Below are 13,949 nucleotides of genomic sequence, written 5' to 3'. Positions count from 1 at the left end.
AAGTTAGGGATGGGCATGGAACTCAGCGGGGTAGGGGGAAGGAAATGGGCTTTCCCCTTACCCTTTTTTGGGTCCTGAGGCCTGAAAGTTCACAGTGGGTTCAACTCTGCCTTGGGCGGGGTCAGACCTAGGTCCCAGCACGTCCTGGAAGCTCCGCCCCAAGCAGAGGGCCAAGCCCAGGTCGGGGGTGCCTGGAGACATCCCGCTGAGCCACTGGGGGTGGAGAGGGGGAGGCCAGGGACCAGGAAATGCTGAGTGAGCTGGGGGAGGGAGTTCAGGGGTTAAAAGCCATGGTTCGGGGCTGAAGTTCTAGACAGCTGGCGGCTGACGCTCCTCGTGGGCCCCTCACTCAGGTAGGGTCTGCCTGGGGCGGGGGCGGGGAGCGGAGGAGGGCAGGGAGGGGAGAGAAGAGGGGATAGGAAGGATGGGGAAAGCAGAAGGGCAGCTGAGTCAGGGAGAGGGAGAGTGAAGCTAGAGTCTCAGATCTAGAGAGAAACCTGCAGAGACGGAGAGAGGCGAAGGGCGCGGACAGATAAGAACTTGGGCTAATACCAAGCGTGTGGACAGACCCAGAGGGGTAGAATGGAAGGCAGACTCTGGAGGAAAAGGGCGAGAGTGCACCGACCACCCAGCTCGCCAGAGGGCAGGGGAGGAGGGACGGCTTCCTGGGGTGAGGGGCTGCACGCCGGAGCCCCAGGAGGTTGCACACTGTTCCTCCCACCTCGCCACTGCACCCCCACCAAGGATGGAATTGGAGGCGGGGGGCAGATTCCAGGGTCAGGGCTGTCAAGAGTGAATGAGGCGAGGAGACATTCAGGAGCAGAGAGGTTTCAGACGCGGAGGTTCCGGGCACGCCCTCAACACCCCCTTCACCTTCTCCTCAGGCCCCGCCCGCCCTGCCCTCCCCTCCCGATCCCGGAGCCATGTGGCCCCTGGCCCTAGTGATCGCCTCCCTGACCTTGGCCTTGTCAGGAGGTAAGAATGCGCGGGGGTGGAGGCGCGGCGGCCATTCGGGACAATGGTAGGAGGGGTCAGGCCGGAGGGGGAGGGGGCGTGGGAGCCGCGAGCTCCGCCCCCCGCCCACTCGGGGCCGGGTCCAGTGGGGACAGCTCAGAGCTCTTCCTGCTTGTCCCTGGGTGACCTGGTTTCCCGGCTGAGGTTGGCCCTCCGACCCCAGACCCTTCACCTCCCAAAATACCCTCGCAGCAGCCCCTCCCGCGTTCAAGGCTTCCTGTCCTCTCTGGAAAGCTGAAAGACATGGGTTCGCGTCCTGACGCTGCCGCTTTGAGCCAGTAGCCTAGCAGCTGCTTTGTGCCTAAATTGTTTTCATCTGGAAAATGGGCTTAATCTATAAGTGCTTACCAGAGAAGGTCACTGTGAATATTGAAACGAGGTAATGCGTCGAGCCTTCAGTATGTCGCAGGTAGAAGGGACTTGAAAGTTAGCCACTTAGCCGTTATTACTTTATTAGTAGTATTCCTTTTTTTTTTTTTTTTTTTTTTTGAGATGGAACCTTGCTCTGTCTCCCAGGCTGGAAGGCAGTGGCACGATCTTGGCTTACTGAAACCTCCGCCTCCCGGGTTGAAGCGATTCTCCTGCCTCAGCCTCCCGAGTAGCTGGGATTACAGGCGCCCGCCACCACGCCCAACTAATTTTTGTATTTTCAGCAGAGACGGGGTTTCGCCATGTTGGTTAGGCTGGTCTCGAACTTCTAACTTCAAGTAGCCCGCGTCAGCCTCCCAAAGTGCCAGGATTACAGGCATGAGCCACCGAGCCCGGCCTCTAGTATTCTGTCTTCATACTCAGCCCCTTCCAGAACCTTCTAGATTGTTATTTTAATCCTTGGGTTGACCCCAAACCTATGTGACCTCACCCCAAATTGGTAGTCCTTAAGATCCTTATGGATCTTTCCCATCTTTCCCTGCCGTTGTAGGCAGGTTCTCTGGAAACCCCGTTCATGAATCATTTATTCATTCAACAAACAGCTATTAAACACCGGCCACTGTGCTGGGTGCTGTACAAGCAGAGACACAGTCCCTGCTCTCAGCACCTGGAGTCTAGCGGGGACAGACGCAGATGTTATTCAAACAATTATCCAAATAATTAGTTAATAATTATCTTGACATGAGGTGAAGACTTCAAGGAGCCAAGCCAGGGGCCTAGAGATGTAATGGCGGCTTCCCGACCAGAGGCCTTCCCAAAGGGCTTGACCCTTGAGCCAAGACCTGAAAAAGGAGGGATCTGTGGGTGCCTGGCACCTGGCACCATCCTTGGCCTGAAGGTGGGGTGGCTTTTCTCCTCTGGCGACACTCCCTGGATTCATGCCCGTGCCACTCCTGAGTGCCACACCCTAGGCTAGGAGACCCACACGCTACGCCTTGTGGAGTCCTCAACAACCTGGCGAGGTAGGTGCATTGTAATTACTCCAATTTCATGGCAGAGAAACCTAGGACTCAAAGACAGAAGGCTCCTGCTCCAATGACACCGGCGATGCCTGAGTCAGAATCCTAATCAAGGTTGTTTTCCCTGTCCATATCCTGGACTTGAGGCTCTGAAAACCATTTTTATAACTTTTGACCTAATCATTTGCTTAAAGTTAGCTTTTTTTCTTCTTTTTTCACTCAAACAAAAGCATGTTCAACTTTATATTACTGTCCTGAATAGAGAATAGAATTCTTTGTCATAAATAGAAGGTAAGGAAGGAAATAAATCCTGCACAATGAAAAGAAAATAATATGTTTATTGGGTTGGACCACCTGAAATTGCTGATACTTGACCCTTTTTGACCTTCCTAAAACAACTTTTGCAGATGGTTCAGTGTAATAAATGTTAGGTGGCCTGATGAGGCTTCTGTGTCCTCCTGGCTTTGAAAAGTGAGCTCAGTGAGGATTAGGGAGGTGTTAAAACCATATTAGCACCATCCTGAGACTTTATCCTTGACAAAATCAGGTTTAAAAGAGAACTGGATGCTGGTTCAGCGTCTGAGTGTGCGATTTAACGTTACTTAAATCTCATCTCTCTACCATCTAAAATGATCCTGTGCTCACCGACAACTTCTGTCCCTAACTGCAAACCACTGAGCTAATCCAACTGCTTGCCCTGTAGTTGGGGAAACTAGCTAGGGAGGCAGAGGGACCTCCTGTTGTAGCTAATAATTAATAATAACATTTCCCACTGACTGAGTGCTCTCCATGCCACCTGCTGTGCTGCACGGTTTGAAATGCAGGATCATCTTGAATTCTTCAACTGCGCAATGAGAGATGAACTATTACTTTTTCTACTTGACAGCTGGGGAAACTGAGGCTGGTGATTTGCATAAGGTCACACAGTCACAAAATGGCATGCATGTTCAGGATTGGATTCTCCCTGTCCCACGGACCCCTGCTGTGCTTTCAATGCCAGACACAGTGCCTGGCACACACAGCATTTATTTATTGAGCCCCCATTGTGTGCCAGGCGCTGTGTTAGGTCCTGGGAATATGGTACTGAATAAAGCAGTTAAGGTGCCTGTTGTCAATGGAGCTTACAGTCAAAGTGGAGAGATTTTTAAAAACGAATACATACAAATGTGAAGAGAAATGAATAGCAATCATTGTTCTGATGAAGACCAACTGGAAGAATGTAATGGGGGAGGAGTCGGGACCAGGAGAGTCAACATTAGACCAGGTGGTCAGGGAAGGCCTTTCTGAAGAGGAGACATTTGAGCTGACCTCTCAGAATTAAGAAGGACCCAGACATACAACCTCTAAATTCTGAGGGTCATCCAGTAGAATATTCCATATATGTATATATGAAATATCCTATATCTGTGCTGTCCAATTATCCACTAGCCCCTTCAGGCTATTGAACATTTGAAATATGGCTGGTGTGACTTAAGAACTGAATTTTTAATTTAGTTTTACTTCATTTTAATTAGTTTAAATTTAAATAGCCACATGTAGCTAGTGGCTACCATATTAAACAACATAGGTCTGGAGAAAGGACTGTGCAGAGAGAGGAAATAGCAAGTATAAAATGTCTAGTATGGGGGCATCCAAGATGATTTAAATTCTTCTTTTCTTTAAATGCCTGGTGTGTTTGAAGAACAGGCCCATGAGGCTGGACTAGAGGAAGTCAGAAGAAAGAGGTTGGAGATGGGGTCAAAGAGGCTGGCAAGGGCCAGACAGCACAGAGTCCTGCACACCTTGGGAAGGCTTTTTGGATTTTATTTTAAAGAAAGTTGAGCCTGGGAACAACATCTGACTTTCTTTGTTTGAAGAGTCCTCAGCCTACTTTGAGAAGACTGGATCGGAGGGATGTAAAAGTGGAAGGATTTAGGTTAATGTTGTAGTCATTTGGGCTACAGAAGATGGGGCATGGACCAAGATGGTGGCAGAAGTGTGGAGATAACTGGATATTTGGGAGATAAAACCAATAGGAACTGGTTGTGAGTGATGAAGGAAAGAAGAGAAGCAAAGATGACTCCCAGGTTTGGGGCTGAGCACTGAGGTGGGAAATACTGGAGCGAACAGTTTTGATTGAGAAGAATCAAGTTGGGAATACAAAGCTTAAGATGCCTGTAAGGCATCCAAATCAACAGTGTTTGAGTTTTGAGCTTAAAGAAGAGTTCAGGGCTGGAGATGATTAGCCTATAGCTGGTATTTAAAGCCATGGAGGCAACCAGTATATATGCAGTGAAAGGATAGAGAGATGGGTGGAAAGATGATTGGATGGATGCATGGATGGATATATGGATAGATGGATGGATGGATGGTTGGATTGGATGGATGGATGGATGGATGGATGGATGGATGGATGGATGGATGGATGAATAAATGGACCAGTGGATGGAGGGACAGATGAGTGGATGGATGGTTGGATGGATGGATGGATGGATGGATGGATAGATGGTTAGATGACTACCTAAATGGATGAATGGATAGATGGATGAGTAGACGGATGGACAAATCAATAGGATGAATGGGGGATGGATGATTGGATAGATTGATGGATAGATATTGCCTAGGTGGATGTGTAGGTCAGTCTCACTTCTACCTCCTGAAATCCATCTTCTGGTAGAATGATATAAAAAATGCATGTGGAGAGAAAGTCAGGCTCCTGCTTACCTATCAGCAACATCCTCATTTTGTGAACTCTTCTGTTAACCCCCAGTGGAGGATTTGGTACTTCCTGAGAAAATAATGTCACCCCTTTGCCCTAATTCATCTCCACTTGGTCAAGAATAGCAACTGCCATAGGTCGGCAAATTCATCTTCAGTTCCTGGTCACCCAGGGCAATAATCCGACCCTTACCCCAAACCCAGAAACCACAACCCCAGGGCTCCTCTGCCCCCTGGATCCCAGTTTTCTAACAATCTCTCTTCTTTACCAGGTGTCTCCCAGGAGTCTTCCAAGGTTCTCAACACCAATGGGACCAGTGGGTTTCTCCCAGGTGGCTACACCTGCTTCCCCCACTCTCAGCCCTGGCAGGCTGCCCTACTAGTGCAAGGGCGGCTACTCTGTGGGGGAGTCCTGGTCCACCCCAAATGGGTCCTCACTGCCGCACACTGTCTAAAGGAGTATGTGGGGGCCGGGGGAGCATGGGGTAGGGATGAGAATGGGACTGGGATTGTGGATGGGGTAGAGTTGGATTTGAGGATGGAGTTGGAGTTAGGGTTGGGGATGGACATGGGAGTGAGAATGAGGTTTGGGGTTGAGATATGGGGATTGGGTATGGGAATAGAATCAAAGTAGGGGATTTGGATGGGATTGAAGTTGAGGATGGGGGAGATGTATTTGGAGATGAGGAAGGTAGGATGGAGAAGAAGTTAGGTTGGGGATGGGAAGAGGTTGGGGCTGGGATGGGGATGGAAATGGGCTCATCTTCTTTCCTAACCACCTTCTTTCTGCACCCACAGGGGGCTCAAAGTTTACCTAGGCAAGCACGCCCTAGGGCGTGTGGAAGCTGGTGAGCAGGTGAGGGAAGTTGTCCACTCTATCCCCCACCCTGAATACCGGAGAAGCCCCACCCACCTGAACCACGACCATGACATCATGCTTCTGGAGCTGCAGTCCCCGGTCCAGCTCACAGGCTACATCCAAACCCTGCCCCTTTCCCACAACAACCGCCTAACCCCTGGCACCACCTGTCGGGTGTCTGGCTGGGGCACCACCACCAGCCCCCAGGGTATGCACCCACACAGGTGGCCTGAGGCCCCATAGGAGTGGCTGGGGAAACAGGGGCAGAGATGGGAGGGAAGGTCTGAGGTAGGTTCCTTTATATATAAAAATATAAATAAGTAAATAAATATATATATTTAAAGTTAGCTGTATCCTTTATATAAATATAAATTCATGAATATATAAAAATATGAGTATATAAATTCATGAATATATAGAAATATAAATAGATCTAATATATGAATATATTATATGATGTATATTATGTATTATATAGTAATATAATTATATATTATACAAAAAGTATACAAATTAAATGTATTTTATAAATTATAAAATTTATCAATTATGTATTTTAAATATGTATTTCTGCATAATGTATATATTATATATAATCTATATTTAAATTATATATTATAAATGTATTTTATAAATGTATACATTTATATATTTATATACTGTAAATGAATTTTATCATTTATAATATATAAATCATACATATAAAATGTTTATATTTCTATAATTTATAAAATGTTTAATATATTAAATATGGTTATTAATGAAATGTCTAATAATTCAATGTAATAATTAATTCTATATCATTACTTAGTAAGTATAATACATTATATATGTGAATATAAAGTTGATGTATATACCGACAAGAGCCCTTTGCATCTCCCTAGCAATCCCTGACTCTCTCCCAGCCTCATGTTTGTATCTTTCTCCTCAACATGCCCTGTCTCTCTTCCTACCATTCTATCCAACTCTCCCGTAACTCTTCCCATCCCTGTTCCTGCTTTTCCCATCTTTAATTCTCTATTTCTGACCATCTCCCTATTCCAACTCCCTCTCTCCAACTTTCTCTCCCCACCGCTGGCTCCACCACTCTCCTTATCAACCTTCCATTCTCTTGTCCCTTCCCTCCTTGTCCTTCCCTCCACTTTTCTCCTCATCTCTCCCTTCGCCTCTCTCCCATGTCCCTCCATATTTCTGTCACTTCCGTTGCTTTACCCAGATAGGTGCTCATCTCTTCTCCCATCTTTCTCTTCCCATCTCAATTTTCTATCTACTCTTTACCCATTCAACTCGCCTATTTCACCTTCATCCCATATCCTATCCAGGTCGGATACCTTAGACCTTCTCTTTCTTCTCCCCAGTGAATTACCCCAAAACTCTACAATGTGCCAACATCCAACTTCGCTCAGATGAGGAGTGTCGTCAAGTCTACCCAGGAAAGATCACTGACAACATGTTGTGTGCCGGCACAAAAGAGGGTGGCAAAGACTCCTGTGAGGTGAGGCCGGGAGGCTGGTGGGTGCCTTGGACAGGATAGAAAGCCAGAATGGAAGTGACAGATGCTGGGGAAAAAGCTTTGTTTCCAGCCTTAGGGGAACCAATCTTTATAAGATACAATGTCCCCTCACATAGGAGGTCAAGACAAAAAGGGGTACCCAGGGATGGCAGGAATAATTCATCATAAGCCCCAGCTTTGACTGAGTGGCTGCCAAGATCCCTGTGTTGAGATGCATAAAGGTTGGTATTCTTTCACTTGTGAGTGATAGACAACCAACTCAAACTGGCTTAAACAAAATGCAGGCTTTTGTAACTGAAAATCCAGGTTGTCTGGCTTTAGGCACAGATGGATCCAGGTATGCAAATTGTGTGTTTGGAATTCTGTCTTTCTTTTAACTCTCAGCTCTTCTTTATTCTGTTTTGGCTTCATTCTCGGTTAGATTCTTCCCATGACAAGATGGCCCCAGCAGCTTTGAGCTTACATCCTACCCTCTAGGCAACCCTATTAGAAAGAGAACCTCTCTTTTCCAATAGTTCACACAAAAGTCTTAAGCATGATTCTCACTAGGCTGACCTAAGTCATGTGTCTTGAGCCATCACTCCACCAGAGCTGTGGGATTCTCTGATGGGCCAAGCCTGAGTCACATAGTTAACTGTGGGTGCTGGAGAGGGGCAGGGACAAACTGCATGGATTGGAAGTGGAGAAGGGCAGTTCCCCAAATGAAAAAATCAGGAGAGGCTGTTACCAAAATAAGGGGAAATGGCCAAGTACAGTAGTTCATGCCTGTAATCCCAGCACTTTGGGAGGCTGAGGTGAGAGGATTACTTGAGCCCAGGAGTTTGAGACCAGCCTGGGCAACATAGTGAGACTCTGTCTCTACAAAAAGAAAAAAAAGTTTTTAAATTAGCCAGGTGTGGTGGAGTACAACTGCAGTCCTAGTTACTCGGGAGGCTGAGGCAGAAGGACTATTTGAACCCAGGAGTTCAAGGCTGCAGTGAGGTATGATCATGCCACTGCACTCCAGCCTGGGTGATAGAGCAAGGCCCTGTCTCTAAAACAAAAAGAAATAAATAGAGCAAGACACTGTCTCTAATAAATAAATAAATAAAAATTTAAAAATGAATGTTTAATTTTTTAAAAATAAGAGGAAATGGATACTACATGAGCAAAAAATAGCCTTCATCAATAAAGAAGTTGAGATTGGATTCAGTGAGAAAGAGTATGATACTATATTAATGATATGTGCCTTGATCGATTAGTGATGTCTGCCTTGGGCCCAGGAAGAGAAATAGACTTACACGTGTGTTGCATACCCTGCCCAGATATGAATGGGTTCACTCAATAGTGAGAGACACAAATGAGCCTTAAATAGGAGCAGGGTCAGCTGGTGTGGGGCAGGGGGTGATTTAGTACCAGGGAAACAAAAATGGGTATGAAGTAAGTTGTTACCATTTTAATGAAACTGAGGAACAGAGAAAAACACAGAAATTTCTCTGTGTCTCTCTTTCTCTGGGCCTATCTCTGTCTTTCTGTCCCTATTTCTGTCTCTTGCTGTCTGTCCCTCTGTGTTTGTCTTCTTGTCTGTTTCTCACTGTCTTCATTGCTTTCTCTCACACTGTGTGTGTCTGACTCTGCCTCTCTGAGTCTCCTTCTCTGTGTGTGTCTCTCTCCATCTTTCACTCTCTCCCCACACCTCCCTGTCCCTGCCTTGTTTAGCCCCAGCAAGGACCCACCTCTCTCTCTCTTTCTTTCCCCAACTCAGGGTGACTCTGGGGGCCCCCTGGTCTGTAACAGAACACTGTATGGCATCGTCTCCTGGGGAGACTTCCCATGTGGGCAACCTGACCGGCCTGGTGTCTACACCCGTGTCTCAAGATACGTCCTGTGGATCCGTGAAACAATCCGAAAATATGAAACCCAGCAGCAAAAATGGTTGAAGGGCCCACAATAAAAGTTGAGAAATGTACCGGCTTCCATCCTGTCACCATGACTTCCTCACATGGTCTGCTTAGCCCTTCTCTGCTCCTTATTCCCAGTGTTCCATTTGAACCAGTGATCCATGTCCTGAAAAATGCTCAATCTCAGCTAACATTCCATGTTTCAGAAGCATTCAGGCACTGCCAGGCTTGCAGTCTCCCAGATGTTGCATCCCTGAAACATCTCAACAACCTGAATGTCCCAACCCAGACAATGGCCCAGGTCTCTCAACTTCATCAGTGTGGCTTCTATGAGCCCAGATCACCACCTGAACGTTCTGTCTGTGGCACATTCTTAAATATTTCCATCAGCCCATCTCAACAATATATGTCCTATAAATGGACCATCCTTGACAACATCCTCTAACTCTTCAAGTATTTATTCAATGCCAGTATCCTAGACCTTCTATTTTTTGCACTCAAGAAGGCTCTAGACTCCCATGATAGTTCATCCTGAAAATATTCTCTTATGCCCACAATCTTCTGCCCTGACAACATTCTGTGTACCTCTGTGACTCACCACAGCTAACATTGGATCCTCAGAATATTTCATTCTCACACTGTTATGGGTGTCTCAGAAGTCCCAACCCAACCTACATCCCACATTCTTCCAATACCCCACCTCTGCCAACATTCCCTCTCTGAATCAATGGCACCCTAGTCTCTAGAGTTATAGGGTTCAGTATACCAAAGGGTCTTCTTGCCTGAACTTTATTGTCTACCAAATATTCCGTCTTGTATCCCCTCCATGAACATCCTTGGTCAGTGTCCCTTGCTGTTACATCTTTGTGCATGACCCTAAAATGTAGTGCAAATCCTTGCTTTGGACAAGTTATAAAACTCACAGTCTCTGTGCTTTCTCATCTGTAAAATGGGTTCATAATTTTTTTTAATTGTAACATTATTACAAGAATAAATGTCAAGCATTTATCACTATTATTATTTGCATGGTTCCCATAAAATATTACCTTAGAATGTTAATAACAGCCCTTCGAATTTGCAGAGTGTCCAAAAAAAGTGTTGCACTGATTTATTTTCCTCAGGAGACATTTCTTCAGTGTTGACTATGTGCAAGCACTCTCCTGGGTGTTGTTAAATATAGTTTATTTACTCAACAAATATTTGTACCTATCAAGAGCCAGGCACTGTTGCAGAGACAAGTGATAACCAATGAGTTAAACAGATAAAAACTTCTGCCCTTGTAGAACTTACATTCTTTTCAAGAAGTCTCCATAACAATGAATAAAGAAATAGGCTGTCAGGTGGTGCTGCAAGCCATAGCAAGAAATGAAACAAGGGCCATATGTGGTAGCTCATGCCTGTAATACCAACACTGGGAGGCCAAGGTGGGAGGATCGCTTGACACCAGGAGTTCAAGACCAGCCTGGACAACATAGCAAGATCCCATCTCTACAAAAAAGTTTAAAAAATTAGCTGGACATGGTGGCACAAGTCTGTAGTCCCAGCTAATCAGAAGGCTGAGGCAGGATGATTGCATGAGCCCAGGAGTTTGAGGCTGCAGTGAGCTGTGATTGTGCCAGTACACTCAAGCCTGGGTGACAGAGCAAGACCCTGTGAAGAAGAAGGAGAAGGAGAAGGGGAAGGGGAAGGGGAAGGAGAGCAAGAGGAAGAGGAAGAGGTAGAAGAAAGGATTAAGAATTGGGAATGTAGGGTTGTATATGTGGAAGGGGTGGCATTGCAATTTAAACAGCATGGTCAGGGAAGAGGACCTAACTGAGATGGTAACATTTAAAGAAAGACCGAAAGGATGAAGGGAAGGAGCAAAGCACATATCTGAGGAGCAGCTGCTGGAGCAGGGGATACAGCTAGTGCAAAGGCCCTGAGGCAGGAGCCTGTTTGGTGTGTCTGAAGATCAGTGAAAAGGTTGGTGTGGCTGGAGCTGAGTGAGCAAGGAGGAGAGGGTGGGAGGTGAGGGCAGAGAATGAACGGAGCAGACTGCATTGGGTCCTGTGGGGCACGACGAGGACTTTGTTTTCCTCTGAGGGAGCCAGGAGCTATGAGAGGGCTCTGAGCAGAGGAGGGACTTGAACTGATTTCAATGTGCGCAGGATTCCTCTGGCTACTCCATGGGGAACAGACTCAGGGGGCCCAGCGAGGAAGGGACTGCATTAGCCCAGGCAAAAGGTGACGGTTCCTGGACCAAGGTGATGGCCGTAGAGGAGGCGAGAGGTCAGATTCTGGATCTGTTTGATGGGACTGTTGGACCATATCTGCCAACATCAGATGGGGGAATGTGAGAAAAAGAGAAGAGTCGAAGATGACTCCAGCAATTTGGCCTGAGCAACAGGAAGGATGGAGCTTTCATTTACAAAAATGCGAGAAACTGAGAGGAACATGTTTTAGGGCAGAGATGAGGAAATTTTGTCTTGAACTGTTTATTAGACACTCAAGTGGAAATAAACTGTTCTCTGAGAATTTATAGAAAATAAACAACTATGGCCAGGCATGGAGGCTCACACCTGTAGTCCCAGCACTTTGGGAAGCTGAGGCGGGCGGATCACTTGGGGTCAGGAGTCAACACCAGCCTGGCCAACATGGTGAAACCCCGTCTCTACTAAAAATACAAAAATTAGCTGGTGGTGGCAGGCGCCTGTAATCCCAGCTACTCAGAGGCTGAAGCAGGAGAATCACTTGAACCCGGGAGGCGGAGGCTGCAGTGAGCCAAGATTGCGCCACTGCATTCTAGCCTGGGTGACAAACTGAAACCCTGTCTCAAAAAGAAAGAAAAGAAACAACTACACAAACTAAATAACTGCAGATTGTGATGATTTCTGTGTGATGATAATAACAAATGCAATCATTTCCATGAAGGATATAAGCAAGGATTTGTGTTAGAGAATAAAGGAGGAGGCTGTTTTGAATAGGGTGATCAAGAAGGGCTTCTCGGAGAAGGTGGCATGTGGCCAAAGGGTTAAAGGGAGCCAGTTTAGCAAAGAATGGGGGAAATACCTCTGAAAAAGGAAACCACTGGGCCAACGTCCTTGAGTTTAGCCTATTCCAGGATCTGAGGGCAGGCCAGCATGACTGTACAGTAATGATGAACGAGTGACTGGGTAGGGAATGAGACTGGAGGATTTGGCTGGAGCCAAATATTCGGAATCTTTTTAGCTGTAGTCAGGGAGGTGGTCTTTCTCCCATTGTAGTGGGGGAGCTCCTGGAGAGTGTCAACAGGGGAGGAATATCTGAAATCGGATTATCACTCTGGTTGCTGGGTTACTGGTGGAGACAAGGTACCAGGAGGGAGTATTGGAAGCCAGGAGATGAACCTGAAGCCTACTGCAGTAATCAGTGGGTAAGATGATGGCTCAGCCAACAGAGATGAAGATGGATTAGAATGAGCGTTTTGCAGTCACACTGAGGAAACTCGGCAATACAATCAATCGTATTATTCACAGTAGTTACTTACGTTCTATAAAGTCACCTCTAACACTGAATTAGCAACTATTAAAGCATTGCTTCTAGGGGGGAAATATAGGTTCCTTCGAGCCTCTGGTCACAATCTTTTTGTCACCTGATCAATATATAACCTTGTTTTAGGTGTGTTTCTCTTTAAAGACAGCTTAATATACATGCATTGAACTCACAGCCGATGGCGATGTAACTCATGCCTGAATGAAGCTTCTCTAACATGTGTATTTTCTTTTTAAATTTTTCAAAATTTATTTTATTCATTTTATTTTTTTGAGACAGGATCTTGCTCTGTTGCCCATGCTGGAGTACAGTGGTGCAATCGTAGCTCAGTGCAGCTCTGAACTCCTAGGCTCAAGTGATCCTCCCGCCTTAGCTCCTGAGTTGCTGGGACTACAGGCGTATACCACCATGCCCAGCTAATTTTCTTTTTTATTTTTGTAGAGATGGGGTCTCACTCTCTTGCCCAGACTGGTCTCAAACTCCTGGACTCAAGTGATCCTCCCACCTTGGCCTCCCAGTGTATTGGGATTACAGGCATGAGCCACTGCACCCAGCTTTGTGTGTTTTCCCATAAGGTACATCACAGCCTTCCTGCACTTAGGATGCTAGACGCACTTTACCACTGTCCTGAGGGGGCATTTTAAACAGCGAAATCAACAAAAATGTGCAAAACGTGGCACTAACTAGACCACAAAAAGGACACTTGTTTACAGAATGAGAGCTGAAATAAGGGACAGCATCGCCTTAATCGACCTCAGCTGGGAGCATGCACCTCAGGCAATTCAAATTGTTCACCACTCTGCATATTTGCAAACAGCCGCAAAAGTCCCAAGAGTATTGGTTTGGGGGCTACCCACAGATTTTATCAAGCAGGTAAATTTGAAAATACAAATTTCATGAATAATGAGGATCAACTGTGTCTGTGGGGGTGAGGGTGAATGTTGAGGATGATTCCTGCGTGATTCCTGGTTATTTCAGGGGAGACTATAGTTTAGTGTTCAAAAACACAAAGGGTGGAGTCTGAAAGATCTGGTTTTGCCACTTTATCTTTTGGGAACCTCAGTTCTTTAATCTGGTAATAACAGGCC

The 13,949-nt window shown here is 46.2% G+C and overlaps 1 protein-coding gene across 10 annotated transcripts; it reads left to right on the top strand.

Annotated features, from left to right (window-relative positions):
- The first annotated feature begins 311 nt into the window (after positions 1-311).
- KLK13 (kallikrein related peptidase 13) lies at positions 312-10,365 on the top strand. Of its 10 annotated transcripts, none has more exons than XM_047438578.1 (6): positions 312-353; positions 885-975; positions 5,372-5,558; positions 5,898-6,166; positions 7,317-7,453; positions 9,216-10,365. In XM_047438578.1, exons 2-6 carry the CDS (start codon positions 924-926, stop codon positions 9,402-9,404), a joined length of 834 nt encoding a protein of 277 aa, XP_047294534.1. In that variant the 5' UTR covers positions 312-353; positions 885-923; the 3' UTR covers positions 9,405-10,365. The 10 variants fall into 10 exon arrangements, 5 of the variants coding, with proteins under 5 accessions (XP_047294534.1, XP_047294535.1, NP_001335106.1 ...); NR_145465.2 differs by lacking the exon at positions 312-353 and adding an exon at positions 2,130-2,405 and having other exon boundaries at positions 899-975; positions 5,898-5,955; NR_145464.2 differs by lacking the exon at positions 312-353 and adding an exon at positions 2,130-2,405 and having other exon boundaries at positions 899-975; positions 5,898-6,246.
- The last annotated feature ends 3,584 nt before the right edge of the window (positions 10,366-13,949 follow it).

The sequence above is a fragment of the Homo sapiens genome, chromosome 19 (genome assembly GCF_000001405.40).
Source record: "Homo sapiens chromosome 19, GRCh38.p14 Primary Assembly".
NCBI lineage: Eukaryota > Metazoa > Chordata > Mammalia > Primates > Hominidae > Homo > Homo sapiens.
This window is presented reverse-complemented; position numbering and strand designations above follow the sequence as displayed.